Raw genomic sequence first — 27,819 nt, 5'->3', positions numbered from 1 at the left:
TACTAGGGAAGCTGAGGCAGGAGGATCACTTGAACCCAGAAGACAGAGGTTGCAGTGAGCCGAAGTCATGCCACTGCACTCCAGTCTGGGCAACAGAGCAAGACGCTACCTCAAAAAAAAAATACCTTCCAACAGTCCTTGTCCTACTTCACTTTTTACAGGTTTTCCTCCACATATCATATGAAATAAGAGAACAGTGAAATACTGTTGGTCTGGATACTTAATCTGATGTGCAGAAGGAACAGCCCTAAATCCTGAGATCCATTCTTTTATATAACTAGATATGGAAGATATAAGATTCTTTGATGAGACTTTATTTATTTATTTATTTATTTATTTATTTATTTTTGAGATGGAGTCTGGCTCTGTCACCCAGGCTTGAGTGCAGTGGTGCAATCTCAGCTCACTGCAACCAGTGACTCCTGGGTTGAAGGGATTCTCCTGCTTCAACCTCCTGAATAGCTGGGACTACAGGTGTGCACCACCATGCCTGGCTGATTTTTGTATTTTAGTAGAGACGGGGTTTCACCATGTTAGCCATGCTGGTCTCGAACTCCTGACCTCATGCAATCCGCCCACCTCGGGCTCCCAAAGTGTTGGGATTACAGGCGTGAGCCACCGCACCCAGCCACTTAATTTCTTTTAACAAAGACATGAGAATTATGAATACATGGATGAATCATTTCGCCCTTGTATCCTTCCTTTTTTTTTTCTCATCACTATACCAACGAGGACCTTCTATCATTCTTAAAATAAAAGAGAAAGAAACAGAAATCCCAGCGCAGTACTTCCCAAACGAAAGCGGTTAGGTGTCCATCTGTCAGGCTATATTAAACCAGGAAGAGAATTTTCATTTCAAAACAGTTTCTTCTATTGGCGCTTTCTCCTCGTGAAATATTTACAGGAAACATACATTTAAAATGGAATGAAAGCAGAAACATACAGTAATCCAAGCAAAACTCAACAACGTCCGTTCTTTATTTTGCACAAGACGGTCTGCATTACCCTTGCCATTAAAAAAAGACTGAAAATCTGGGGCTGAAGTAAAACACCCATGACATGCCACCTGGAGCTAGGAATGTAGCTTTGTGTCAGCAGGAGACCAAGTGTGAGTGGTGGTTCTGGCTTGCTAAGTGGATACCAGAGCTTTCGTTCCCATTTATGAGCTTCCTAGGTTCATAAAACGGACAGAACAAAGAAGTCTGTCCTATGTTTATTTTTCAGAGTAGTGTAACATATGTTTCTCAAGAATGGTCTGCATCTTTAGCATCAGAATCGCCAGAGAAATTTGTTTAAATAGAGATTAAAGGGATATAGGTCAGATCAAAATCTCTGGTAGTTGGGGACCCAGGAATCTTCATTTTAAAACGTAAACCAAGTGATTCTTACGCTCAACAAAGTGTGCAGGAATTGGCCCGTGATCTTGGCTTTTTAACCACACCATGCCTCAATTTCCCCCTTCTGCACAAGACAACAAGAGTTCCTGGATATCTTGCGAGTTAGTACTTTTCTGCCTAGCCGGATTCAGAGACATGGCCGCTAAGAGGTGACCCGGGGCTCCCCTGAGATCCCCTGATTCCTGGTGAATTGTAAATTCAATTTGAGAAGAGAGAGAGGAAGGGATTTCCGATACTTAGAGACCACCCTTTGGATCCTAGAGATAATGCCGGCACAACTGTGTATCAGATTTCAGGGCGCGTTCGGCTAATAATGTTGCCGGCCAGCCGCCGTCGTTCGTGGAGTGACGCAACAAGGCGTACTCTCTGGCCGTTGTCACTCGACTACCAAGATGGCGGCCCCCGGGAGCTGTGCTCTATGGAGCTATTGCGGCCGTGGGTGGTCGCGGGCGATGCGGGGCTGCCAGCTCCTCGGGCTTCGTAGCTCTTGGCCCGGGGACCTACTAAGTGCTCGGCTCTTGTCCCAAGAGAAGCGGGCAGCGGAAACGCACTTTGGGTTTGAGACTGTGTCGGAAGAGGAGAAGGGGGGCAAAGGTGAAAGGGGCGAGAGGGCGGATGGGAGGGATCTGACCGTCCATGGTCTGGTTTCTTCTGGCCAGTTAGGGTTGATTTAACATCCAATTAGTTCCAGTGTTGTTGTCTGTGCAGTTATGATTTTTTTTTTTTTTGGAGACAGAATTTCGCTCTTGTTGCCCACACTGGAGTGCAATGGTCCGATCTTGGCTCACTGCAACCTCCGCCTCCCGGGTTCAAGCGATTCTCCTGCCTCAGCTTCCCGAGTAGCTGGGATTACAGGCGCCCGCCAGCACGCCCGGCTAACTTTTTTGTATTCTTACTAGAGATGGGGTTTCACCAGGCTGGTCTCGAACTCCTGACCTCAGGTGATTCGCCTGCCTCGGCCTCCCAAAGTGCTGGGATTACAGGCGTGAGCCACCGCGCCCAGCCAGACGCCCCCTTTTTAAAAGCAGAATACTGATGACTAAATCCCATCAACTGAGCGTTTGTGATGTGCCAGGCAACGTACAGACATTATTTTCAATTCTCATTTTCAACATTCCAGTAGTGGGTATTGTTATTACCATATTACACGTGAGGAAATTGAGACTTAAAGGTTAAGCAAGAAGTTGCCCAGTTGAACATATCAGTAAGTGGCGGAACCAGTATTCAAACCCAGTTTAATCTGAGTCTGAAGCCCCCGTTCTTTACCTCTAGAGAAAAATAGGGGTTTTTTTGGTTGTTTTTATTTATTTATTTATTTATTTATTTATTTTGAGACGGAGTTTCGCTCTTGTTGCCCAGGCTGGAGTGCAATGGCGCAATATGGGCTCACTGCAACCTCAGCCTCCTAGGTTCAAGCGATCCTCCTGCCTCAGCCTCCTGAGTAGCTGGGATTACAGGCATCTGCCACTGTGCCCTGCTAATTTTTGTATTTTCAGTAGAGACGGGGTTTCTTTTTTTTTTTTTTTTTTTTTTTTTTTTTTTTTTGAGACTGAGTCTCTCTCTGTCACCCCCAGGCTGGAAGGCAGTGGCGCGATCTCGGCTCACTGCAAGCTCCGCCTCCTGGCTTCACGCCATTCTCCTGCCTCAGCCTCCCGAGTAGCTGGGACTACAGGGGCCCGCCACCATGCCCGGCTAATTTTTTGTATTTTTTTTTTAGTACAGACAGGGTTTCACCATGTTAGCCAGGATGGTCTGGATCTCCTGACCTCGTGATCCACCTGCCTCGGCCTCCCAAAGTGCTGGGATTACAGGCATGAGCCACCACACCGGCCAATGTATAATCAACATTTTACAATGTATAATCAATGTATAATCAACATTTCACACAGTGGCAAGCAAGGAAGAAGTTAACTACTGAACTAAATATGAATTCCAGATTGGGGACTGAGATTGCAGTACAGACAGTCCTCGCTGTGCACAGTAATGCAAGACTGTGAAAATGTGCAAGCTGAAGTCATACACAATGACCTTAATCAATGGGAAAAATTAGAATTGTTTTATGACCTTTAAAAATTATCAACCATCAAAAACCCTGTCAGTTATAAATGTATAGTGAAATGAAAAAATATATACTGAAGTTGATATTTATTTACAGCCAGGTGCGATGGTTCACACCTGTAATCCCAGCACTTTGGGAGGCCGAGGTAGGCACTTGAAGTCAGGAGTTCGAGACCAGCCTGGCCAACGTGGTGAAACCTCATCTCTACTAAAAATACAAAAAAAATTAGCCAAGCATGGTGACGCACGCCTGTAATCACAGCTAATTAGGAGGCTGAGGCAGGCAAATTTCTTGAACCTGGGAGGTGGACGTTGCAGTGATCTGAGATTGTGCCACTGCACTCTAGCCTGGGCGACACAGTGAGACTGTCTCAAAAACAAAGAAAAAAAATTCTAATAAAAAATTAGAAACCTTGAGAATTAAATTCTTTTATTTCCTTGTAAAAAAATTGCCAAGAGTAGGCTGGGCGCAGTGGCTCACGCCTGTAATCCCAGCACTTTGAGAGGCCGAGGCGGGTGGATCATGAGGTCAGGAGATTGAGACCATCCTGGCTAACACGGTGAAACTCCGTCTCTACTAAAAATACAAAAAAATTAGCCGGGCATGGTGGCGGGCGCCTGTAGTCCCAGCTACTCCGGAGGCTGAGGCAGGAGAATGGCATGAACCCGGGAGGAGGAGCTTGCAGTGAGCCGAGATCCTGCCACTACACTCCAGCCTGGGCGACAGAGCAAGACTCTGTCTCAAAAAAAAAAAAAAAAAAAAAAAAAAAAAAAAAATTGCCAAGAGTAGTTTGAGCACTATTTGCCACCTTCTTGTCGTATGAAATATCTTTTCTATGCCTTGGCAAATTGCCATATTTCTTTCTAAGTTTTTATCTACTTCTGATATTTTATCCTTTGTGCTTTCAATGTTATGAAATACCTCCAAGAACTCCTTTAATGTGAAAGTTTTTGCTGGCATCACTTCTTCTGGGACATCTTCAACCTTTTTGTCACAGCTCCATTTCTTGTTCATGTTGGTAAGTTCATCTTCCTGCAGTTCCTCTGGCTGTATGTCTAGAGTCTCTCCAGTGGCAGCAGTGTCAATATTCCCACAGTCATCTATTTCTCCTATAACTCCACTGACACTCAATTTGAATTTCACTTCCAGCATTATCAGCATTTTCATTTTTGTTGCTCAATTCCCTCTTTCATTTATCCAGTTATGCCACGTGTGCTTTATCACTGAAAGATAAAGAGGCAATACAAGTACATGCTTTACTGTCTGTGAACTGAGTAACTGATGCAGTGACCAGTCACCTAAAGTCTGGGAAAGAAGTGCGTGATTGGTTGCTGAACATGTTGTGTATCTGTTATTTACATAGTGATTTGTAGGCTAAAGAATGTATTTTATGTAATTACTCATATTTAATATACCATTGTACTTGAATTGTGGTATTGGGTGACTGGTGTTGTTTAGCTAAACCACAGTAACTGAAATTCATGCATATTGGAACATGCAAAGCCAGGACTATTTGCTTATTTATTTATTTATTTATATTTATTTTTTTGGAGATGGAGTCTCGCTCTGTCGCCCAGGCTGGAGTGCGGTGGCACGATCTCAGCTCACTGTAAGCTCCGCCTCCCAGGTTCATGCCATTCTCCTGCCTCAGCCTCCCGAGTAGCTGGGACTACAGGCGCCCACCACCACGCCCAGCTAGTTTTTTTGTATTTTTAGTAGAGATGGAGTTTCACTGTGTTAGCTAGGATGGTCTCGATCTCTGGACCTCGTGATCCCCCCGCCTCAGCCTCCCAAAGTTCTGGGATTATAGGCATGAGCCACTGCGCCCAGCCTTGTTTATTTATTTTTGAGACAAGTTCTCACTATGCTGCCCAGGCTGGGGTACAATGTCTATTCACAGGCACAATCATAGCACACTGCAGCCTTGAACTCCTGGGTTCAAGCAGTCCTCTCCCATTAGCCCCCCGAGTAGCTGGCACTCCAGGTGTGTGCCACCATGCCAGCAAGGAGGACTATTTATACCGAGTGGGGTTAGCCTTAGTGTCCCCCAGACACCCCAAAAGATGCTCAAAAGAGCAGGCTGGGCGTGGTGGCTCACGCCTGTAATCCCAGTACTTTGGGAGGCTGAGGTGGGCAGATCATGAGGTCAGGAGTTTGAGACCAGCTGGCCAACATGGTGAAACCCCATCTCTACTAAAAATACAAAAATTAGCCAGGCATGGTGGCAAGTGCCTGTAATCGTAGCTATTCGGGAGGCTGAGGCAGGAGAATCACTTGAACCTAGAAGGAGGAGGTTGCAGTGAGCCGAGATTGCGCCACTGTACCCCAGCCTGGGCGACAGAGCTAGACGCCGTCTCAAAAACAAAAGTCCGGGCACGGTGGCTCACACCTGTGATCCTAACACTTTGGGAAGCCAAGGCGGGCAGATCTGAGGTTAGGAGATCGAGACTATCCTGGCTAGCAGTGAAACCCCATCTCTACTAAAAATACAACAGATTAGCTGGGCATGGTGGCACGTGCCTGTAGTCCCAGCTACTTGGGAGGCTGAGCCAGGAGAATTGCCGGGAGGCGGAGGTTACAGTGAGCCAAGATCACGCCACTGCACTCCAGCCTGGGTGACAGAGCAAGACTCCGTCCCAAAAAAAATTTAAAAAAAAAAAAGGAAAGAGCGCACTTGGAAATCCGAAGGTTGAGAATAGGCGTTGAAGTTTGAGTTAAAGGCGGGCTCTGTAGTCTGATTCAGCAGAAGAGAGTCATGTTTTCAATCTGTGTAGCACATTTCATCTGAGGAACTCAAAGCATCTCCTCTTCATTATCCAATTCAGCCTTCTGGCAGGGAGATAGGGAGCTGGCACTGATATAGCCGTCTTACGGGCAGAGAAACTGAGGTGAAAAACAGTTAAATGTAACTTTAAGGCCGGGCGTGGTGGCTCACGCCTATAATCCTAGCACTTTGGGAGGCCGAGGCGGGCGGATCACGAGGTCAGGAGATCGAGACCATCCTGGCTAGCATGGTGAAACCCCGTCTCTACTAAAAATACAAAAAATTAGCTGGGCGTGGTGGCGAGTGCCTGTAGTCCCAGCTACTTGGGAGGCTGAGGCAGGAGAATGGCGTGAACCCGGGAGGCAGAGCTTGCAGTGAGCCGAGATCGCGCCACTGCACTGCAGCCTGGGCGACAGAGCGAGACTCCGTCTCAAAAAAAAAAAAATGTAACTTTAAAGGGAAACACTTCTGAGAGTCTTGGATAGTAGACTCTTTCTCTCTTTAGCTATCCCAGATTCCACAGTCTGTGTTGATCCTATGGAGAAGACTCATGAGAGCCCTCTAAATTGTGACTTAGCCCTGATTCACAGCTTGGCATCTAGGTGCCCACCAAATTGTACCTGAGGTTCTTCTCAGTGATACAGGCAGACATGAGCCGAGGTCTTTCCTTCCATTAATCATGCATCTTTCATCTTTATTTTGAAACAGAGTCTCTCTCTGTCGCCCAGGCTGGAATGCAGTGGTCCAATTTCAGCTCACTGCAACCTCTACCTTCCAGGTTCCAGTGATTCTCCTGCCCCAACCACCCGAGTAGCTGGGATTACAGGTGTGCACAACCATGCCCAGCTAATTTTTGTGTTTTTACTAGAGACAGGGTTTTGCCATGTTGGCCAGGCTAGCCTTGAACTCCTGGCCTCGAGTGAACCACCCCCCTTGGACTCCCAAAGTGCTAGGATTACAGGCAAGAGCCACCGTGCCCTGTATGCATACTTCTAATGGATCTTGTCTTTTATTATAATAACCATGAGAAAAATTCCAATTTCCCCCACCCTATCCTTTAAGAAACAGAAACATCTATTTAGTACCAGGTATATGGATGGCATTTTTACAAAGTAGTAGTCCTAAGTAATAATAATTAAGACAGCAGAAAAGAGGTTGATTTCTTCCATGAAGTACATTTAAGCCTCTTATTAAAGAGGTAATGTGATGCCATCCACGACTTAGGAGCAGCAGCGGGGAGCAGGCTGTGGAGAGGACCAGTGCAGACATGGCCAAGTCTAAGAACCACACCACACACAGCCAGTCCCGAAATGGCACAGAAATGGTATCAAGAAACCCCGATCACAAAGATATGAATCCTATTTTTTTTTCTTTGAGACGGAGTCTCGCTCTGTGGCCCAGGCGGGAGTGCAGTGGCGCCATCTCGGCTCACTGCAAGCTCCACCTCCCAGGTTCACGCCATTCTCCTGCCTCAGCCTCCCGAGTAGCTGGGACCACAGGCGCCCACCACCATGCCGGCTAATTTTTTGTATTTTTAGTAGAGACGGGGTTTCACCATGTTAGCCAGGATGGTCTCGATCTCCTGACCTCGTGATCCGCCCGCCTCAGCCTCCCAAAGTGCTGGGATTACAGGCATGAGCCACCGCGCCTGGCCGATAAGAATCTCTTTTTTTTTTATAAGAATCTCTTAAGGGAGTGGACCCCAAGTTCCTGAGGAACATGCGCTTTGCCAAGAAGCACAACAAGAAAGGCCTAAAAAAGATGCAGGCCAACAGTGCCAGGGCCACGAGTGCACGTGCTGACGCTATCAAGGCCCTTGTAAAGCCCAAGGAGGTTAAGCCCGAGATCCCAAAGGGTGTCAGCCGCAAGCTCGATCCACTTGCCTACATTGCCCACCCCCAGGCTTGGGAAATGTGCTCATTCCTGCATTGCCAAGGGGCTCAAGCTATGTCGGTCAAAGGCCAAGGCCAAAGATCAAACCAAGGCCCAGGCTGCAGCTCCAGCTTAGGCTCCCAAAGGTGCCCGGACACCTACGAAGGCTTCAGAGTAGATATCTCTGTCTGCCAATGTGAGGACAGAAGGACTGGTGTGACCCCCCTGGACTGCCATCTGCATGGGGCTGGGGTCCTCCTGTGCTATTTGTACAAATAAATCTGAGGCAGGAAAAAAAAATAAATCAATAAAGAGGTAATGTTAAGGTGTAGATTTGGGCATCAAGCATTACGACTTAGTTTCACCTTGCAAAGCCAGGTCATTTCAGGGGAAAAAAGCTTCCTCCTTTTTTGTTTAGGATTTTTCTAAGGGAATTCTGTTAATAGCACTATTGTGTGTGTTTCTCCCATGTCAGTCTATCAGGTGTTTGAAAGTGTGGCTAAGAAGTATGATGTGATGAATGATATGATGAGTCTTGGTATCCATCGTGTTTGGAAGGATTTGCTGCTCTGGAAGATGCACCCGCTTCCTGGGACCCAGCTGCTTGATGTTGCTGGAGGCACAGGTAATGTCGAGTTTGGTATCCTTCACTACCATTGAGCATGTTTTACAGAAATTAGTCTCTCTTGTAATGAGCTAGCTCACCTAACACGAGGCGGAAGATGGTGATTGAAAATCTGCATACTTATAACTTCTGAGAAAGGCACGCACTTATCTTTTTGACTGAATATCAATCAAAAGCATAGAATAACAGTTTTGTGCCTGTCACTTTTTTTTTTTTGAGATAGGAGTCTCACTCTGTCGCCCAGGCTGGCATGCAGTGTCTCAATCTCAGCTCATTGCAACCTCTGCCTCCCAGGTTCAAGCAATTCTCCTGCCTCAGCCTCCTGAGTAGCTGGGACTACGGGCGTACTCCACCATGCCCAGCTAATATTTTGTATTTTAGTAGAGACGGGGTTTCACTGTGTTTCCCAGGCTGGTCTCGAACTCCTGAGTTCAGGCAGTCTGCCTGCCTCGGCCTCCCAAAGTGCTGGGATTACAGGCATGAACCTGGCCGGTGCCTGTCTGCCTGTCACATTTCCTTTTTTTTTTTTTTTTTGGAGATGGAGTCTTGCTCTGTCTCCCAGACTGCAGTGCAGCAGCGGTGCAATCTCGGCTCCACTGCAACCTCCACCTCCGGGGTTCAAGCAATTCTCTGCCTCAGCCTCCTGAGTAGCTGGGATTATAGGCATGCACCACCACGCCTGGCTAATTTTTGTATTGTTAGTAGAGACAGGGTTCCACCATCTTGGCCTGGCTGGTCTTGAACTCCTGACCTCATGATACACCCGCCTCGGCCTCCCAAGGTGCTGGGATTACAGGAGTGAGCCACTGTGCCCAGCTGCCTGTCACATTTCTAAAATACACAGATTGGCTGGCCGCAGCGGCTCACACCTGTACTCCCAGCACTTTGGGTGGCCACGGTGGGTGGATTGCCTAAGGTCAGGAGTTCAAGACCAGACTGGCCAACATGGTGAAAACCCATCTCTACTAAAAATACAAAAAAAAAGCCAGTGTGGTAGCTGGTGCCTGTAATCCCAGCTACTTGGGAGGCTGAGGCAGGAGAATTGCTTGAACTGGGGAGGTGGAGGGTTGCAGTGAGCTGAGATCGTACCATTACACTCCAGCCTGGGCAACAGAGCAAGATTCCGTCTCAAAAAAAAAAAAAAAAAAACGCAGGATTACAAAGGAAAAAGTCAAATTTTTGACCAGTGACATTTCACCATCTAAATGACTGTTTTATCTTCTGCTTAACCTTTAACCCCCTTTTCTTCTTTTTTAGGGGATGAGAGAAGCCTTTTATCACTTTATATAAGTTTTTGAGGCTGCCTTTTCTGCTTGATTTGCTATCACATCAAATATCAAAAGTTTGTGCACAGTCCTTTGTTACTTCTTGTACACTGAGCATTTGGAGAGAAAAATGTCATGATTTTACACAATGCGTCTTGGTGATGTCATCGTACATGTTAAATTACATTAGAGGCTGGGCGTGGTGGCTCACGCCTATAATCGTAGCACTTTGGGAGGATCACCTGAGGTTAGGAGTTCAAGACCAGTCTGGCCAACATGGTGAAACCCCGTCTCTACTAAAAATACAAAAATTCAGCTGGGCGATGGCGGGGTGTGGTGGCTCATGCCTGTAATCCCAGCACTTTGGGAGCCCGAGGCGGTCGGATCATGAGGTCAAGAGATCGAAACCATCCTGGCCAACATGGTGAAACCCTGTCTCTACTAAAAATACAAAAATTGGTCGGTTGTGGTGGCATGCGCCTGTAATCACAGCTACTCAGGAGGCTGAGGCAAGAGAATTGCTTGAACCCAGGAGGCCGAGGTTGCAGTGAGCCGAGATCAAGCCACCACACTCCAGCCTGGGCAACAGAGCGAGACTCTGTCTCAAAAAAAAAAAATTAAAAATAAAATAAAATAAAAATAGCCGGCAAGGTGGCGGGCGTCTGTAATTCCAGCTACTCAGGAGGCTGAGGCAGGAGAATCACTGGAACCCAGGAGGCAGAGGTTGCAGTGAGCCGAGATTGTGCCATTGCTCTCCAGCCTGGGCTGCAGAGCAAGACTCTGTCTCAAAAAATAATAATAATAATAAATAAATACATAAAATTACATTAGAATAATATATAATGTAATAATTTGATAATTAGTAACGATAGAGTAATGTATAATGATAAATTACAATAGAATAATCTCTATACTTGAAACATATTTATCTGTAGCTATGTTGGTGTGATCCTCTCCCCAAATGGAAGCTCAGAGGGCAAGAAGACACCTTGCTCTGTAGAGGGTAATTTAGCAGAATCTACCAAAATCTAAAATGCATATAAGCCTAGGATCCCACTTTTTTTTTTTTTTTTTTTTTGAGTCCAAGTCTCGTTCTTGTTGCCCAGGCTGAAGTGCAATGGCACAATTTCGGCTCACCGCAACCTCTGCCTCCTAGGTTCAAGCGATTTTCCTGCCTCGGCCTCCTAAGTAGCTGGGACTACAGGCATGTGCCACCACACCCAGCTAATTTTGTATTTTTAGTAGAGACGGAGTTTCTCCATGTTGGTCAGGCTGGTCTTGAACTCCCAGCCTCAGGTGATACACCCACCTCAGCCTCCCAAAGTGCTGGGATTATAGGCATGAGCCATCACGCCTGGCGGATCCCACATTTTCAATTCTTTTTTTTTTGAGATGGAGTCTTGCTCTGTTGCCCCGGCTGGAGTGCAATGGCATGATCTCGGCACACTGCAACCTCCGCCTCCTGGGTTAAAGTGATTCTCATGCCTTGGCCTCCCAAGTAGCTGGGATTACAGGCGCCCATCATCATGCCTGGCTGATTTTGTGTATTTTTAGTATAGGCAAGGTTTTACTATATTGGCCAGGCTGGCCTCAAATTCCTGACCTAAGGTGATCCGCCCACCTTGGCCTCCCAAAGTGTTGAGATTACAGGCCTGACCCACTCCGCCTGGCCTCACATTTTCAATTCTATGTCGCCTAAAGAAAAACTTCCACAAAGATTTAGTCACATATACGCTCATTGCATCACATTTAATAGTAATTAAAAATTGGAAATAACCTATTTCTTCCCAATAAGGACATGGCTTTAAATTAAGGCATATCCAGTCTATGAAATATTGTTTATCTATTTAAAACAATAAGGAAAACTTACAAGTAATGATGGAAAGGTTGCAAGGACATATTAAGTGGGAAGAATAAGAAAACACGTGGTATAACAATGTATACAATATCCCTGTTTATGTTTTTAAATGTTGTTATATGCATACCTATAAATATATTGAAATATCGTGCTCACTTCAGTAGCGCATATACTAAATTTGGAATGATACAGAGAAGATGCACAAAATAATTAATATATTGAAATATATGGCCGAGCACGTTGGCTCACGCCTGTAATCCCAGCATTTGGGAGGCTGAGGCGTGTGGATCACGAGGTCAGGAGTCTGAGACCAGCCTGACCAATGTGGTGAAACCCTGTCTCTACTAAAAATACAAAAATTAGCTGGGCGTGGTAGCACACGCCTGTAATCCCAGCTACTCAGGAGGCTGAGGCAGGAGAATTGCTTTAACCTGGGAAGCGGAGGTTGCAGTGAGCTGAGATCGTGCTACTGCACTCTAGCCTGGGAATAGAGCGAGCCTCCGTCTCAGGGAAAAAAAAAAAAAGATATAAAATAAAAAATGACTGGAGAATGACTGGAGAATACCTAATTGGTTGGACATATGGGAGAAACAAGGATATATTTCTTGGAAATAGTGTAGGAAAAACAAAGACAAGGAAACAGCTTTTTTTTTTTTTTTTTTTTGGAAACGGTCTTGCACTTTCGCCAGGCTGGAGTGTAGTGGCGTCATCTCGGCTTACTGCAACCTCCACCCCCCAGGCCTCAAGTAATCTTCCCATCTCAGCCTCCCAAATAGCTAGGAATACAGGCATGTGCCCCACACCTGGCTAATTTTTGTAATTTTTTTCGTAGAGACTGAGTTTCACCATGTTACCCAGGCTGGTCTCAAACCTCTGGGCTCAAGCAATCTGCCTACCTCAGCCTCCTGAAGCCTGAAGTGCTGGGATCACAGGCGTGAGCCACCGAGCCCAGCCGGAAACAGCATTATAAGAAAGGAAATATAGGGCCAGGCGCAATGGCTCATGCCTGTAATCCCAGCACTTTGGGAGGCCGAGGCGAGTGGATCACCTGAGGTCAAGAGTTCGAGACCAGCCTGACCAACATGATGAAACCCTATCTCTACTAAAAATACAAAATTAGCCAGGTTTGGTGGCACATGCCTGTGATCCCAGCCACTTGGGAGGCTGAGGCAGGAGAATCACTTGAACCTGGGAGGCAGAGGTTGCAGTGAGCTCAGATCGCGCCATTGCACTCCAGCCTGGGCAACAAGAGCAGAAACTCCATCTCAAAAAAAAAGAAAGAAAGAAAAGGAAATATAGAAAAGAGAGGAAAAAAGAAAGGAAATAGGATTCTACAAAGCACTGGATTTGTCCTGAACAATATTTACCAGGTCACAGTATTATAAACACTTGATTTGGTTTTTTTTTTTGAGATGTAGTCTTGCTCTGTCGCCCAGGCTGGAGTGCAGTGGCGCGATCTTGGCTCACTGCAAGCTCTGCCTCCTGGGTTCATGCCATTCTCCTGCCTCAGCCTCCTGAGTAGCTGGGACTACAGGCACCCACCACCACGCCTGGCTAATTTTTTTTTTTTTTTTGTATTTTTTTAGTAGAGACGGGGTTTCATCATGTTAGCCAAGATGGTCTCGATCTCCTGACCTCGTGATCCAACCGCCTCGGCCTCCCGAAGTGCTGGGATTACAGGCATGAGCCACCGCGCCCGGCCTCAGTTTTTATTTTATTTATTTATTTATTTATTTTTGAGACGGAGTTTCGCTTTTGTCACTCAGGCTGGAGTGCAATGGCGCTATCTCGGCCCACTGCAACATCTGTTTCCCAGGTTTAAGCTATTCTCCTGCCGCAGGCTCCCAAGTAGCTGGGATAACAGGCGCCTGCCACCACACCTGGCTAATTTTTGTATTTTTAAAAATGTAGAGACGGGGTTTCACCATGTTGGCCAGGCTGGTCTCAGACTCCTGACCTCAGGTGATCCCCCAGTCTCAGCCTCCCAAAGTGCTGAGATTGCAGGCATGAGCCCAGCCCAATTTCTTTAATTAAAAAAAAAAGTTAGTGTTGAAATGAGTAGAAACTTCCACGTTCACACACTCAGCTATGATTGTGCCTCTGCACTCCAGCTAGGGTGATGGAGTGAGTCCCTGTCTCTAACAAAAAGAAGAAAGGACTTGGCTTTCAGCCACACTGCATCCAGTTAGCTAACACAGGTACTCCTGTGCCTCTGTTACCCCTTTGGGTTTTAGGAAATGCTGTTTCTTCCTTTTTTATTTTTGTTTTAGTCTGCATCTTTCCTCATGTTGGCTTCCCACAGGTGACATTGCATTCCGGTTCCTTAATTATGTTCAGTCCCAGCATCAGAGAAAACAGAAGAGGCAGTTAAGGGCCCAACAAAATTTATCCTGGGAAGAAATTGCCAAAGAGTACCAGAATGAAGAAGATTCCTTGGGCGGGTCTCGTGTCGTGGTGTGTGACATCAACAAGGAGATGCTAAAGGTTGGAAAGCAGAAAGCCTTGGCTCAAGGATACAGAGCTGGTGAGTCCTGCAGAAGGCAGACACAGGGGAAGTATTTGTATCTTTATAGAATAAGGTGGAATATGTAAAATATTGAAATGCTTTATCTTTTGGCTTTCAGAAACTTATAGATGGGCAGGTTGAAGATGATTTGCATGGCTGAATCTAGTTTGTGTGCTGTTATATGCATTATGTATGCATAGCAGCCCATTGAGTGAGCTTACCCAGCCCTATGTGACTGGGATCACTAGATCCCAAGTAAGTCAAGAATCTTACCCAAGTCACACAACTTCTCAGTGGCAGATCCCAAATTGGAGTTGAATCTTCAGATCTCAGCTCTGAGACCCTGAGACAGAAGTTTTGCTGTCATTTCCCAGCAGCTTCAGGGTGACTTCGGTGTATCATTCCCATTCTTGAACCATTCCATTCTCCTGTCCATACTAGGATAGTTTGATTGCTGTGCAACTGGACCTCTCATCTCCTGTAAAGAAAGAACTTCTGGCTGAGCCCATGGCTCACACCTATAATCTCAGAACTTTGGGAGGCCACAATAGGAGGATTACTTGAGCCCAAGAGTTCCAGGCTGCAGTGAGCTATGATTGCACCTCTGCACTCCAGCCTGAGTGACAGAGTGAGACCCTGTCTCTAAAGAAACTTAAACAATAAAAAAAGAAATAACTTGCCCTTCAGCCACAAGGAGTGCAGTTAGCTAGCAGCCTCCACCTATTAGCACATCAGCCTCTGCCTCAGTTTCCAAGGGAGGCCAGGCTCTTTTGTGGCAGCTCGTAGCCAATGGCTGAACACTGTGGGACTACTAGGGCCTGGATATTTTCCAAGCAAGACTCTTTAACAGCCAGCCTTTGTTCTGGAGGTCCCTATTGGGTAGGCTGAGCCTTTGTCAGATCTGCATTAAGGTCTAAAGGCTTTTCTTGCTCAGTCTTTCTTCCTCTCCCTTTGTCTACTCTGTGTTTCCCCTGCCACACACACAAAAAATTATTATACTCCTTGGTCCATCTCAGCATGTTTCTCAGAGGACCCATCTGATACACTCAAAGAAACACTCGTGAACAGTACTCCTCACACTTCCCCACTGTGGTAAATACGAACAGCAGATAGGCAGATGACTGCATGCCTATCTCTGTGAGATTACTGCAAGCTCAAAATGGATGATTTGTGTGCTAGCTTAAAAATGTAAATTGTGGCAGCGAGGTGGCTCATGCCTGTAATCCCAGCACTTTGGAACGCTGAGGGTGAAGGATCGCTTGAAGCCAGGAGTTCAAGACCAGCCTAGGCAACATAGTGAGACTCTGTCTCTACAAAAAATTTAAGTTAGCCAAGTGTGGTGGTACACACCTGTAGTAACAGCTACTTGGGAGGCTGAAGCAGGAGGATCACTTGAATCCAGGAGGTCGAGACTGCAGTGAGCCATGATCATGCCACTGCACTCCAGCCTGGGCAACAGAGTAAGACCCTGTCTCAAAAAAAAAGCAAATTTGGCCAGGCGTGGTGGCTCACGCCTGTAATCTCAGCACTTTGGGAGGCCGAGGGGGGGTGGATCCCCTGAGGTCTGGAGTTCGAGACCAGCCTGACCAATATGGAGAAACCCTGTCTCTACTAAAAATACAAAATTAGCTGGGTGTGGTGACACATGCCTGTAATCCCAGCTATTTGAAGGCTGAGGCAGGAGAATTGCTTGAACCTGGAAGGTGGAGGTTGTGGTGAACCAAGATGGTGCCATTGCACTCCAGCCTAGGCAACAAGAGAGAAACTCCGTCCTGGCAACTGCACCCTGTTGGCCCAGTTTTTGTTGTTGTTGTTGTTGTTGTTGTTGTTGTTGTTGTTTCTGAGACAGAGTCTTGCCCTGTTGCCCAGGATGGAGTACAGTGGAGCGATCTCGGGTCACTACAACCTCTGCCTCCCGGGTTCAAGCAATTCTTGTGCCTCAGCCTCCCGAGTAGCTGGGATTACAGCTGCGCAGCACCATACCCGGCTAATTTTTTTGTATTTTTAGTAGAGACGGGGTTTCACTATGTTGGCCAGGCTGGTCTCGAACTCCTGGTCTCATGTGATCTGTCCACCCATTCCTCCCAAAGTGTTGGGATTATAGGTGTGAGCCACTGCGCCCAGCCCAGCTTTTCAGAGCCGCTATTCTGCCCTCTTCCATGCTGGCCAGGGACCACAGATGGCCACTGTGAGGGGCAGTGGTATATAACAAAGAACGTCCCTCAGGTCAACATCAGCATTTCTCTCCTTCTCCTCCCCCACCATGAGTGTCTATGGTTATTTTAGCTCAAATCTTCCTCCTCTTCCTCCTCCCACCCCCAGAAGGAGCTGCCTAGACGAGCTGCAGCCCACTTGGCCCCCAAGCTGAAGGGCTCCTTTGTTAACCATCAATACTGGTCAGAAGGCGGACAGTCGCTAGTGTTTTTAGACAAAGGCACTATGTTTCCTTACTCCTACTGACAAACATGTTTCCCTTCTCTCTGGTACTCAGCCATAAAGAACGGAAAACAAAGATATTGAAATGATAAGCAGTGTTCCATTTCTGGAATCATCTCTTCCATTGCATAGCCTGCCCGTCGAGCTCTCCTAAGCACCAAGACAAATGCATCTGTGTAGGAATTATTAAGTGCCCCATAGTACAGATTTATCTTTCCTCCTTGTTTTATCAATCTCCAATAATCATACCTTTGCAAAAACATCATGAAAAGTAGAAACTAAGTAGGAGGACCCTAGAAATTATTTAATAAATATAAAAGTTAATGTGTGGTCGGGCGCAGTAGCTTATACCTGTAATCCCAGCACTTTGGGAGGCTGAGGCAGGCAGATCACCTGAGGTCAAAAGTTTGAGACCAGCCTGGTCAACATGGTGAAACCCTGTCTCTACTAAAAATACAAAAATTAGCCAGGCGTGGTGGTGCGCGCCTGTAATCCCAGCTACTCAGGAGGCTGAGGCACGAGAATCTCTTGAACCCAGGAGGTGGACGTCGCACCACTACACTACAGACTGGGTGACAGAGCAAGGCTCTGTCTCAAAAAAAAAAAAAAAGTTAATGTGTAACTTAACTACTTTTTTTTTTTTTTTTGAGACGGAGTCTCGCTCTGTCGCCCAGGCTGGAGTGCAGTGGCGCAATCTCGGCTCACTGCAAGCTCCGCCTCCCGGGTTCACGCCATTCTCTTGCCTCAGCCTCCGCAGCAGCTGGGACTACAGGCACATGCCGCCACGCCCGGCTAATTTTTGTATTTTTAGTAGAGATGGGGTTTCTCTGTGTTAGCCAGGATGGTCTCGATCTCCTGACCTTGTGATCCGCCCGCCTCGGCCTCCCAAAGTGCTGGGATTACAGGTGTGAGCCACTGCACCTGGCCCTTAACTACTTTTTTTTTTAATGTATAGCATGGTTATGTGTTTTATTTATATTTTTTATGTAGCACTTTCCTTCCCAAATGGAAGATCTTAGGGGCAGGAGCTTTAAAATATATACATATTTGGCTGGGTGCTGTGGCTCACACCTGTAATCCCAGCACTTTGGGAGGCCGAGGCAGGTGGATCACCTCAGGTCAGGAGTTCGAGAATAGCCTGGCCAACATGGCGAAACCCTGTCTCTACTAAAAATACAAAAAAAAAAATCAGGCAGGTGAGTAGCTAGGATTATAGGTGTATGCCACCATGCCTGGCTAATTTTTGTATTTTTATTAGAGATAGGGTTTTGCCATGTTGGCCAGGCTACTCTCAAACTCTTGGCCTCAAGTGGTCTGCCCTCTTCAGCCTCCCAAAGTGCTGGGATTGCAGGTGTGGGCTATCGCACCTGGCCTGGAAAAGTATTAAGAAGAAAGTAAATGTTAACCATAATTCCAACATTCAGAGTTGCCCCTCAATATGGTAATGTTTCCTTCCTTTTTCCTAATTATTCCCTTTTTATAAAGTTGAGAACATCCTATATATACAATTTATTTATTTATTTGTTTGTTTATTTATGTATTTATTTTTGAGACAGAGTCCTGCTTTGTCACCCAGGCTGGAGTGCAGTGGTACGATCTCAGCTCACTGCAACCTCCGCCTCCCGGTTCAAGCGATTCCCCTGCCTCAGCCTCCCAAGTAGCTGGGATTACAGGCACCCTCCACCAAGCCCAGCTAATTTTTATATTTTTAGTAGAGAGGGGGTTTCACCATCTTGGCCAGGCTGGTCTCGAACTCTTGACCTCGTGATCCACCTGCCTCAGCCTTCCAAAGTGCTGGGGTTACAGGCATGAGCCACCGCGCCCGTCCTACAATTTAGTAATCCTGCTTTAATTTACTATGGTATCAAAAGATTTCTCCAAGTCATTAGAAATTCCTTGAAATCATTATTTTTATTTTATTTTATTTTATTTTATTTTTGAGACGGAGTCTCGTTCTGTCACCCAGGCTGGAGTGCGGTGGCATGATCTCGGCTCACTGCAAGCTCCACCTCCCAGGTTCACACCATTCTCCTGCCTCAGCCTCCTGATTAGCTGGAACTACAGGCACCCACCACCACGTCTGGCTAATTTTTGTATTTTTAGTAGAGATGGGGTTTCACCGTGTTAGCCCGGATGGTCTTGAACTCCTGACCTCATGATCTGCCCGCCTCGGCCTCCCAAAGTGCTGGGATTACAGGCGTGAGCCACCACACCCGGCCAAAATCATTATTTTTTATGCTATTCTTCCATATGGATGTTTCATGATTCATATAACCAATAACCAATTGAGAATTCTTTTTTTCCCCAATGTTTTGCATGTAGCACAACTTTGTGACATTCTTATTTGTAATTTTTGCATGGATTCATTCGTTTACTGACTGTATAACCTTAGTCAAGTGTTTAAACTCTAATAACTACTTCGTACTAGGAGGTGATATGCCATAGCTGTTGAAAACATAGGCTCTGGGTTCCAGTCCATCTGTGTGACCTTGGGCAAGCAACCTTTCTCTTTTTGCTTTTTATTTTTTCGAGATATGGTCTTGCTGTGTTACCCAGGCTGGTCTTGAACTCCTGGGCTCAAGCTCTCCTCCCACCTCAGCCTCCTGAGTCTCTGGGATTACAGGTGCATGCCACCGTGCTCAGCTCAGACTTTAAACCTTTCTGATGTTCACTTTGCTGACCTGAAACATGAGGATAATGGTAGTAACTCTCTCACAGAGTTGGTATGAGGATATACTAAGATAATCTATCTAAAGATGTACATAAAATAACACAGACCCTGCCACTTGATAAGGGCCCTCTAAGCAGTAGCTGTGATGATGATGTCAATGTCCTTTCCCTAAAAATCAAATCACTGGGTCAAAAGGCATACTTTCTTTTTTTTTTTTTTTTGAGACAGAGTCTCGCTCTGTCACCCAGGCTGGAGTGCAGTGGCGCGATCTCAGCTCACTGCAACCTCCACCTCCCGAATTCAAGCAATTCTCCTGCCTCAGCCTCCCCAGTAGCTGGGACTACAGGTGCATGCCACCACGCCCGGCTAATTTTTTGTATTTTTAGTAGAGACGGGGTTTCACCATGTTTCGATCTCCTGACCTCGTGATCTGCCTCCCTCAGCTTCCCAAAATGCTGGGATTTCAGGCGTGAGCCACCGCACCTGGCCAGGTGTACTTATTTTTAAGGCCCTTGTTAGATACTGTTAATTTGCTTTCCAGAAAGGTTATTTTCATTTACCTTCCTCTATACAGTCTTCTTTTTGTATTTTACATCTAATTCGCTGTAGGTTGTATAATGTTAAAGTCTAATCAAGATCCTTGGAGGACACAGCCACCCTGATAGGGGCCTCTGGTGATCTCTGAATCTCAGACCTAGACACGCTGATGCTCTATGATTCCAATAAAACCAGTAAAACTCTGCTAAATTCTGTACTTAGAGTAACTCAGTTAATACTTTTAGTAACCCTATAGAGTAGGCACTAGTTTTTAACTCCATTTTACAGATGAGGAAACAGACAAAGTAGTTTATTCAAGAATACACAGGCCAGGCACAGTGGCTCACATCTGTAATTCCAGCACTTTGGGAGGCCGAGGCGGGAGGATTGCTTGAGCCCAGGAGTTTGAGACCAGCCTGGGCAAGATGACGAGACCTCGTCTCTACAGAAGAAATTTTTAAAAACTAGCTGGGCAGGGTGGTGTGTGCCTATAGTCCCAACTACTGGGGATACTAAGGCAGGAGGATCCTTTGAGTCCAGGAGTTTGAGGATGCAGTGAGCTGTGTGCCACTGTACTCCAGCCTGGGTGAGAAAGCAAGACCTCCCCATGTCTAAAAAAAATAATAATGATTGATTAAAAATATAAAAGGAAAAATATGTATATATAAGGAATATGGTGAAGCTGGGATTAGAATCCAGGCAGCCTAACCACCCAGGACTTGGGCTCTCCAGCTCAATGCTCTACATGAAATGAATTCACTGGGGGCAGGAAAAACAGCTACCCACACTGAGACCCGGAACTCACTTTCTCTTTCAGGACTTGCATGGGTATTAGGAGATGCTGAAGAACTGCCCTTTGATGATGACAAGTTTGATATTTACACCATTGCCTTTGGGATCCGGAATGTCACACACATTGATCAGGTATGAATGGCTGCATCCTCAGCTTGTATGACTCTCAGGAAATTACCTCTGTTGTAGAGCTACAGTGAGTGAGGAAAGAAGGAGAGTTTTGTTTTTTGAGATGGGGTCTTGGTATGTTGCCCAGGCTAGTCTCAAACTCCTGGGCTCAAGCAGTCCTTCCACATCTGCCTCCCAAGTAGCTGGGATTACAGGAACCTTACAGGAACCCACCACCACACCCAGGGAGAGAGAGAGAGAGAGAGATAGATAGATTTTTTTTTTAATCTTAAAAAAGATAATGTTTAAGGGCTTGGCGCTTGAGTGGAATGCCTGTTTGAAGTTTAGGGTCCTCCATCCTTTAAGTTGACAAATTTTCTAGTCACAAAATTGAAAAAGACTGAAACCACAGAGCTGATCTCCATAGAAGTCTGTCTTACTTGGATTGGTATTCACATCTTTGGGATTTGTCTTGCTCTGGCCTTTTGTGTATTTCCTCATACTTGTGAAGCTGCCTGACCCTGTGAATTTGCAGAAAATCAGAGACATGTCAGAGGCTGACAAAGACAAGGGCCCTCAAACACTGTTTTGACAAAAGATAGCTGGATTCATGGCTTTTCTACAGGAAAAGGGGAACGTTCAGCTCTTAATCTGATGGAGCTCTTCTTTGTTCCTACTTTATTTTTTGTAGAGATGGGGTTTTGCCATGTTGCCCAGGTTGATCTCGAACCCCTGAGCTCAAGTGATCCTCCCACCTCAGCCTCCCAAAATGCTGGGATTACAGGCCTGAGCCACCATGCCTGGCCTTTATTCCTACTTTAATATTCTGTTCAAAACACTTGAAGACCATGTGCAAGGCAAAGAGTTTCATTTCAGTAACATGGTCTCTGGTTGCCTGGGTCCTCTGGTTAAGTGGTAAGTTCTTTATGGTGTTCATCAGCTTGGTTTGCATCACCTTTCCTATGTCAGTAGCCAGTTTATTATTTTGTTGAATGAAAACTTTTTTTTTTTTTTTTTGAGACAGAGTCTCGCTCTGTTGCCAGGCTGGAGTGCAGTGGCGCGATCTTGGCTCACTACAACCTCTGTCTCCTGGGTTCAAGCAATTCTCCTGCGTCAGCCTCCGGAGTAGCTGGGACTACAGGCGTGTGCCACCACGCCCAGCTAATTTTTGTATTTATCAGTAGAGACGGCATTTCACTATGTTGGCCAGGATGGTCTCTGTCTCTTGACCTCATGATCCTCCCGCCTTGGCCTCCCAAAGTGCTGGGATTACAGTCGTGAGCCACCACGCCTGGGGAAAAAAATTTTTTAATAGGTTCAAAGTTCAAAAGGCACAAAAGGTTATATGTGACAATCTCCCTCCCATCCTTGCCTCCTCTCCCATTCAGTGCTTCTCCCTTCAGACAGTCACCAGCTTCTTGTGTATCTTTGTCAAGATGTTTTGTGAATTGGTTATGATTCACATAACTAATAACCAATTGATATTTCTTTTTTTTCCTATGTTTTGCATGTAGCACAACTTTGTGACATCCTTATTTGTAATTTTTGCATGGATTCGATCATTTGTTTACTGACTAACCTTAGACAAGTGTTTGTGATGTTTTGTGCCAAGGTGTATATACTATTTTCTTTCTTTTTCCTTTTTTTTTGTTTGGAGACGGACTCTCACTCTGTCACCCAGGCTGGAGTACAGTAACGTGATCTCAGCTCACTGCAGCCAGTTGAGAGTTCAACCTCAGCTGGTCTTGAACTCTTTGGAGGCCTCCAGGCTGGCCTCCCAACTCTTTAGGAGGCCGAGGTGGGCAGATCACGAGGTCAGGAGATCAAGACCATCCTGGCCAACATGGTGAAACCCCGTCTCTACTAAAAATACAAAAATTAGCTGGGCGTGGCGGCACGAACCTGTAGTCCCAGCTACTTGGGAGGCTGAGTTGGGAAAATCCCTTGAACCCAGGAGGCGGAGGCTGCAGTGAGCCGAGATCACACCACTGCACTCCGCCTGGGCGACAGAGTGAGACTCCACCTCAAAAATAAATAAATAGATAGATGGATAGAATAAAAGTAAACAAATATTTCTTGGAGATTTTTCCTTGTAAGTACATAAAGAGCACTGGCTCTTTTTATTTTTTTATTTTATTATTATTATTATTTTTTGAGACAGAGTCTCACTCTGTCACCCAGGCTAGAGTGCAGTGGAGAGATCTGGGCTCACTGAAACCTCCGCCTCCTGGGTTCAAGTGATTCTTCTGCCTCAGCCTCCCAAGTAGCTGGGGTTATAGGCATGCACCACCATGCCCGACTAATTTTGTATTTTTAGTAGAGACGGAGTTTCTCCATGTTGGTCAGGCTGGTCTCAAACTCCCAACCTCAGGTGATCCACCCACCTCGGCCTCCCAAAGTGCTGGGATTACAGGCGTGAGCCACTGCACCTGGCACTTTTTAAAATAGTTGAATAGAGGCCGGGCGTGGTGGCTCACACCTGTAATCCCAGCACTTTGGGAGGCCGAGGCGGGTGGATCATGAGGTCAGGAGTTCGAGACCAGCCTGACCAACATGGTGAAAACCCCGTCTCTACTAAAAATACAAAAATTAGCTGGGCGTGGTGGCGCGTGCCTATAGTCCCAGATACTTGGGAGGCTGAGGGAGAAGAATCGCTTGAACCCGGGAGGCAGAGGTTGTGGTGAGTTGAGATCACACCACTGCACTCCAGCCTGGGCGACAGAACGAGACTCCGTCTCAAAAAAAAAAAAAATAAGTTGAATAGATTCCATTTATATTTATATTTCATAATTTAGTCTCTTATTAATCGTTAAAGATGCTTCTAATCTTGTGCTATTCAAACACTTGTCTTTTGACAACTGTTTGAACAGCAAATTTTAAAATGACTTCATTTCATAAAATAGAATGTGCTGGGCACAGTAGCTCACGCCTGTAATCCCAGCACTTCGGGAGGCCGAGGCGGGCAGATCACTTGAGGTCAGGAGTTTGAGACCAGCCTGGCCAACATGGTGAAACCCTGTCTATACTAAAAATACAAAAATTAGCCAGGCATGGTGGCGGGCATCTGTAATCCCAGCTACTTGGGAGGCTGAGACAGGAGAATTGCTTGAACCCGGGAGGTGGAAGTTGCAGTGAGCCGAGATTGTGCCACTGCCCTCCAGCCTGGGCGACAGAGCAAGACTCCATCTCAAAAAAATAAAAAAATAAATAAAAATAGAATGCATCCCAATGAGTTGAGCAGAAGACATTGGCTTTATAGACACAGAAAGACTGAAGAAAGCAGAGAAGCAAAGAACAAAGAGTGTATTATTCATCCTTTCAAAACTACTTTTCTTGAAAGGCTGTGATAGGGAGGCAGAATAATAAAAAAAATAGGCTGGGCGTGGTGGCCCAAGTCTGTAATCCTAGCACTTTGGGAGGCCAAGGTGGAAGGATCACCTGAAGTCTCTAGTTCAAGACCAGCCTGGCCAACATGGCGAAACTCCATCTCTACTAAAAATGCAAAAATTAGCCGGGTGTGGTGGCATGTACCTGTAGTCCCAGCAACATGGGAGGCTGAGGCAGGAGAATCACTTGAACCTAGGAGGCAGAGGTTGCAGTGAGCTGAGATCGTGCCACTGCACTCCAGACTGGGTGACAGAGCGAGACTCTGTCTAAAAAAAAAAAAAAAATTTTAAACAGGAGTGTTGGAGAAATTGACTGTATCTCTTTCTCCTGATCTCTCTAGAAGGTCAGCTGACAACTTAGTTTCAGTTTGGTGATGTGGAACTATGGAGTCAAAAGTTGGGTGACTCCATCTTGATTCTTAGTCTGGTCTGTTGGAACCTAGTGCAGAAACAATCCAAAACAATGGCTTCCTATACTTTTTATTTAAAAGTGAATAACCGGCCAGGCATGGTGGCTCACACCTGTAATCCTAGCACCTTGTGAGGCCGAGACGAGTGGATCACTTCAGGCCAGGAGTTCAAGACTGGCCTGGCCAACATGGTGAAACCCTTTTTCTACTAAAAACACAAAATTAGTTGGGTGTGGTGGTGCATTCCTGTAATCCCAGCTACCTGGGAGTCTGAGGCAAGAGAATCACTTGAACCCGGGAGGTGGAGGTTGCAGTGAGCTGAGATCATGCCATTGCACTCTAGCCTGGGCAACAAGAGCGAAACTCTGTCTCAAAAAAACAAACAAATAGGCTGGGTGCGGTGGCTCACACCTGTAATCCCAGCACTTTGGGAGGCCGAGGCTGGCAGACCACCTGATATTGGGAGTTCGAGACAAGCCTGACCAATGTGGAGAAACCCCGTCTCTACTAAAAATACAAAATTAGCCGGGTGTGGTGGTACGTGCCTGTAATCCTAGCTACTCGGGAGGCTGAGGCAGGAAAATCGCTTCAACCTGAGAGGTGGAGGTTGTGGTGAGCCGAGATCATGCCATTGCACTCCAGCCTGGGCAACAAGAGCAAAATTCCACCTCAAAAACAAACAAACAAAAAATTAGCGGGGCGTGGTGGCAGGCACCTGTAGTTCAGCTACTCAGGAAGCTGAGGCAGGAGAATCGCTTGAACCTGGGAGGCAGCGGTTGCAGTGAGCTGAGATCACACCACTGCACTCCAGTCTGGGCGACAGAGCAAGGCTCCATTGCAAAAAATAAAAATAAAAAATAAAAAATAAAAAAAAAAGTGAATAACCCACGTACATGTCATTCCCACAGTAGAAGCATTTCTGTAAGCTAGATTCCTTGAAGTAAAATTGCTTTATCAGAGAGGATATCCATTGTGATTTTGAAAGGTAACTCTAAACTTACCCTTCATGCAATTGTACCAATCTGTAGTCAGTTTAGATTACCCCAGCTAACTTTGTCTAGTCACCGGCAGCAGAATGCCTATAGCATTTGGGATACGTAGGGTTATTGCTGCTGTTACAGCTTCCCAAGTGAGAACAAACAAGAGGTTTGTGGGCCATGATAACTTTTTTAATGCCTGCAGAAGCTAAAGCTGTCTTGGCCTCATGGAATTGAGTGAGGTCTACTGAGGAGTGTGTCCTGTTGTTCCTTGTCTTGCTCAGGCACTCCAGGAAGCTCATCGGGTGCTGAAACCAGGAGGACGGTTTCTCTGTCTGGAATTTAGCCAAGTGAACAATCCCCTCATATCCAGGTTGGCATTGTTAATAGGGCTTTATCTTCATTGTATAGCCAAGGTTTCCCACCCCGAAATGGATTGAAAATAGCCAGTAAGCTATAAGCATGAACTTTGTAGTTCAGAGTACCAGAGGTCAGCCAGTTCTGAATGACAATACCTAGGCCACAAGAGTCTCAAACCAGACCCAAGTTGGCTTACATATGTATATTAAGAAATTGACTTAGAAGCCCCTATTTAAAAATCAGGAAATGCCTGGTCCAATGGTAGTGGGTTATCAGAACTTATTAGTGGCAATAACGTTGCTACTCAACCCCCCTCTGATAAATTTGACTGGCTTAAAAAAAAAAAAATCAGGAAATTTGGGCCAAGTGCAGTGGCTCATGCTTGTAATCCCAGCACTTTGGGAGGCTGAGGCGGGAGGATCACTTGAGGCCAGGAGTTCAAGACCAGCCTGGGCAACCGTGAGACCCTATCTCTAAAAAAAAAAAAAAAAAAAAAAAATTTAAATCAGGAAATTTTCCATAAAAATCTGAATTTCCAGCTTCACTTGAGAAATCAGATACATGGCAGCCCTGGGTAGGCCTATCTCCCCACATGCCACAGGGAGGTCTGAGTAGTAACTGTCCCTTCTCCACTTCATAATACTTCCTAACTGTACCTGTCAGCACTTCTACTGGTCTTGTACCTGACCCACTTAATTCAGGTTCTTGCTTGATCCCTATAGGCATTTGAGTTTGTGACCCCAGGTTTAGTCCTTCTTTCTTCTTATCTAGGGAAGAAGTGAGGGGCATGTTCTAATCTTCATCTTTTACCTTTTTGTTTGCCTAGGCTTTATGATCTATATAGCTTCCAGGTCATCCCTGTCCTGGGAGAGGTCATCGCTGGAGACTGGAAGTCCTATCAGTACCTTGTAGAGAGTATCCGAAGGTTTCCGTCTCAGGTATGAAACTTCTATAGCTTTAAACAAAGGCCCTACAGTGATATCCAGGCTACCCTGGCTTTATCATCTTTCCTTGTGTTTCAGGAAGAGTTCAAGGACATGATAGAAGATGCAGGCTTTCACAAGGTGACTTACGAAAGTCTAACATCAGGCATTGTGGCCATTCATTCTGGCTTCAAACTTTAATTCCTTTCCTATCATGGAGCATGAACCAGTCATATCCTGTTGAAAGCCTGGAACTGAAGGATAATCTGGCAAATGAGACAGCAGCAGAGCATCTCCTCTTAAGGATACGTGCCTTGGACTCATGTTTGAATCGAACAGTCTCAAAGTGGAAGAACAAATTCTTGTCACTTTTTTACAGCTTTCTTTGGAGCTGCTTCAGTCCATCTCCCAGAGGCATTTGGTCTGTATCTTTGCTCAACTGCTAATTTCTCTTGGCTGTAGGGTGTGTGGTTAAGGTACAACCACCCCTAAAGCTCAGTTTTGAAGTGAGTGTATTTATAGCTTCTCTGCTGGTGCTGCCTTCTAGAGGGATGATAGATCATTTGAACCCAATGACAATTTTTAACCAGAAAATTTAATTGTACCTGAATCAACCTTTCAGCCTAGGACGAAGTCTAGGCCCAAGTCAGAGTATTAATGATCATGAGAATTGTGTGCTGAACCAGTAAACGAGTTTACCTTTTGATGGTACTTGTCATTTTTTCTTGAAGGGGGTAAGGAAAATATATTTTTCTTTTACTTTTTTTTTTTTTTCGAGATGGAGTTTTCCTCTGTCACCCAGGCTGGAGTGCAGTGGTGCAATCTCTGCTCACCGTAACCTCCACCTTGTGGGTTCAAGCAGTTCTCCTGCCT

General features: G+C 45.9%; 1 protein-coding gene and 1 pseudogene across 2 annotated transcripts, besides 3 other annotated features; both read left to right on the top strand.

Moving 5' to 3' along the window:
- Positions 1,243-2,012: an enhancer, noted in NCBI's record as "H3K27ac hESC enhancer chr12:120966722-120967491 (GRCh37/hg19 assembly coordinates)". NCBI's record gives its function as "activates a minimal SCP1, AML or CMV promoter by ChIP-STARR-seq in primed H9 embryonic stem cells {active_cell/tissue: H9 hESC(primed)}" and the evidence as "EXISTENCE:reporter gene assay evidence [ECO:0000049][PMID:30033119]".
- Positions 1,437-1,896: an enhancer, noted in NCBI's record as "active region_7145". NCBI's record gives its function as "activates an Ori minimal core promoter by ATAC-STARR-seq in GM12878 lymphoblastoid cells {active_cell/tissue: GM12878}" and the evidence as "EXISTENCE:reporter gene assay evidence [ECO:0000049][PMID:35858748]".
- Positions 1,773-27,652, top strand: COQ5 (coenzyme Q5, methyltransferase). 2 transcript variants are annotated; one of them, XM_006719639.3, is made up of 8 exons: positions 1,773-1,991; positions 4,385-4,474; positions 8,568-8,717; positions 14,143-14,364; positions 20,808-20,914; positions 25,948-26,036; positions 26,850-26,961; positions 27,046-27,652. In XM_006719639.3, the coding sequence occupies exons 3-8, from the start codon at positions 8,609-8,611 to the stop codon at positions 27,145-27,147; spliced, it is 741 nt and encodes a 246-aa protein (XP_006719702.1). In that variant the 5' UTR covers positions 1,773-1,991; positions 4,385-4,474; positions 8,568-8,608; the 3' UTR covers positions 27,148-27,652. The 2 variants fall into 2 exon arrangements, with proteins under 2 accessions (XP_006719702.1, NP_115690.3); NM_032314.4 differs by lacking the exon at positions 4,385-4,474.
- Positions 2,013-2,783: an enhancer, noted in NCBI's record as "H3K27ac hESC enhancer chr12:120965951-120966721 (GRCh37/hg19 assembly coordinates)". NCBI's record gives its function as "activates a minimal SCP1, AML or CMV promoter by ChIP-STARR-seq in naive H9 embryonic stem cells {active_cell/tissue: H9 hESC(naive)}" and the evidence as "EXISTENCE:reporter gene assay evidence [ECO:0000049][PMID:30033119]".
- Positions 7,480-8,384, top strand: RPL29P24 (ribosomal protein L29 pseudogene 24; annotated as a pseudogene).
- Positions 27,653-27,819: the final 167 nt, after the last annotated feature.

The sequence above is a fragment of the Homo sapiens genome, chromosome 12 (assembly GCF_000001405.40).
Source record: "Homo sapiens chromosome 12, GRCh38.p14 Primary Assembly".
Lineage (NCBI taxonomy): Eukaryota > Metazoa > Chordata > Mammalia > Primates > Hominidae > Homo > Homo sapiens.
Note: the sequence above shows the minus strand (reverse complement) of the source record. Positions and strands in the feature narration are given on the sequence as shown.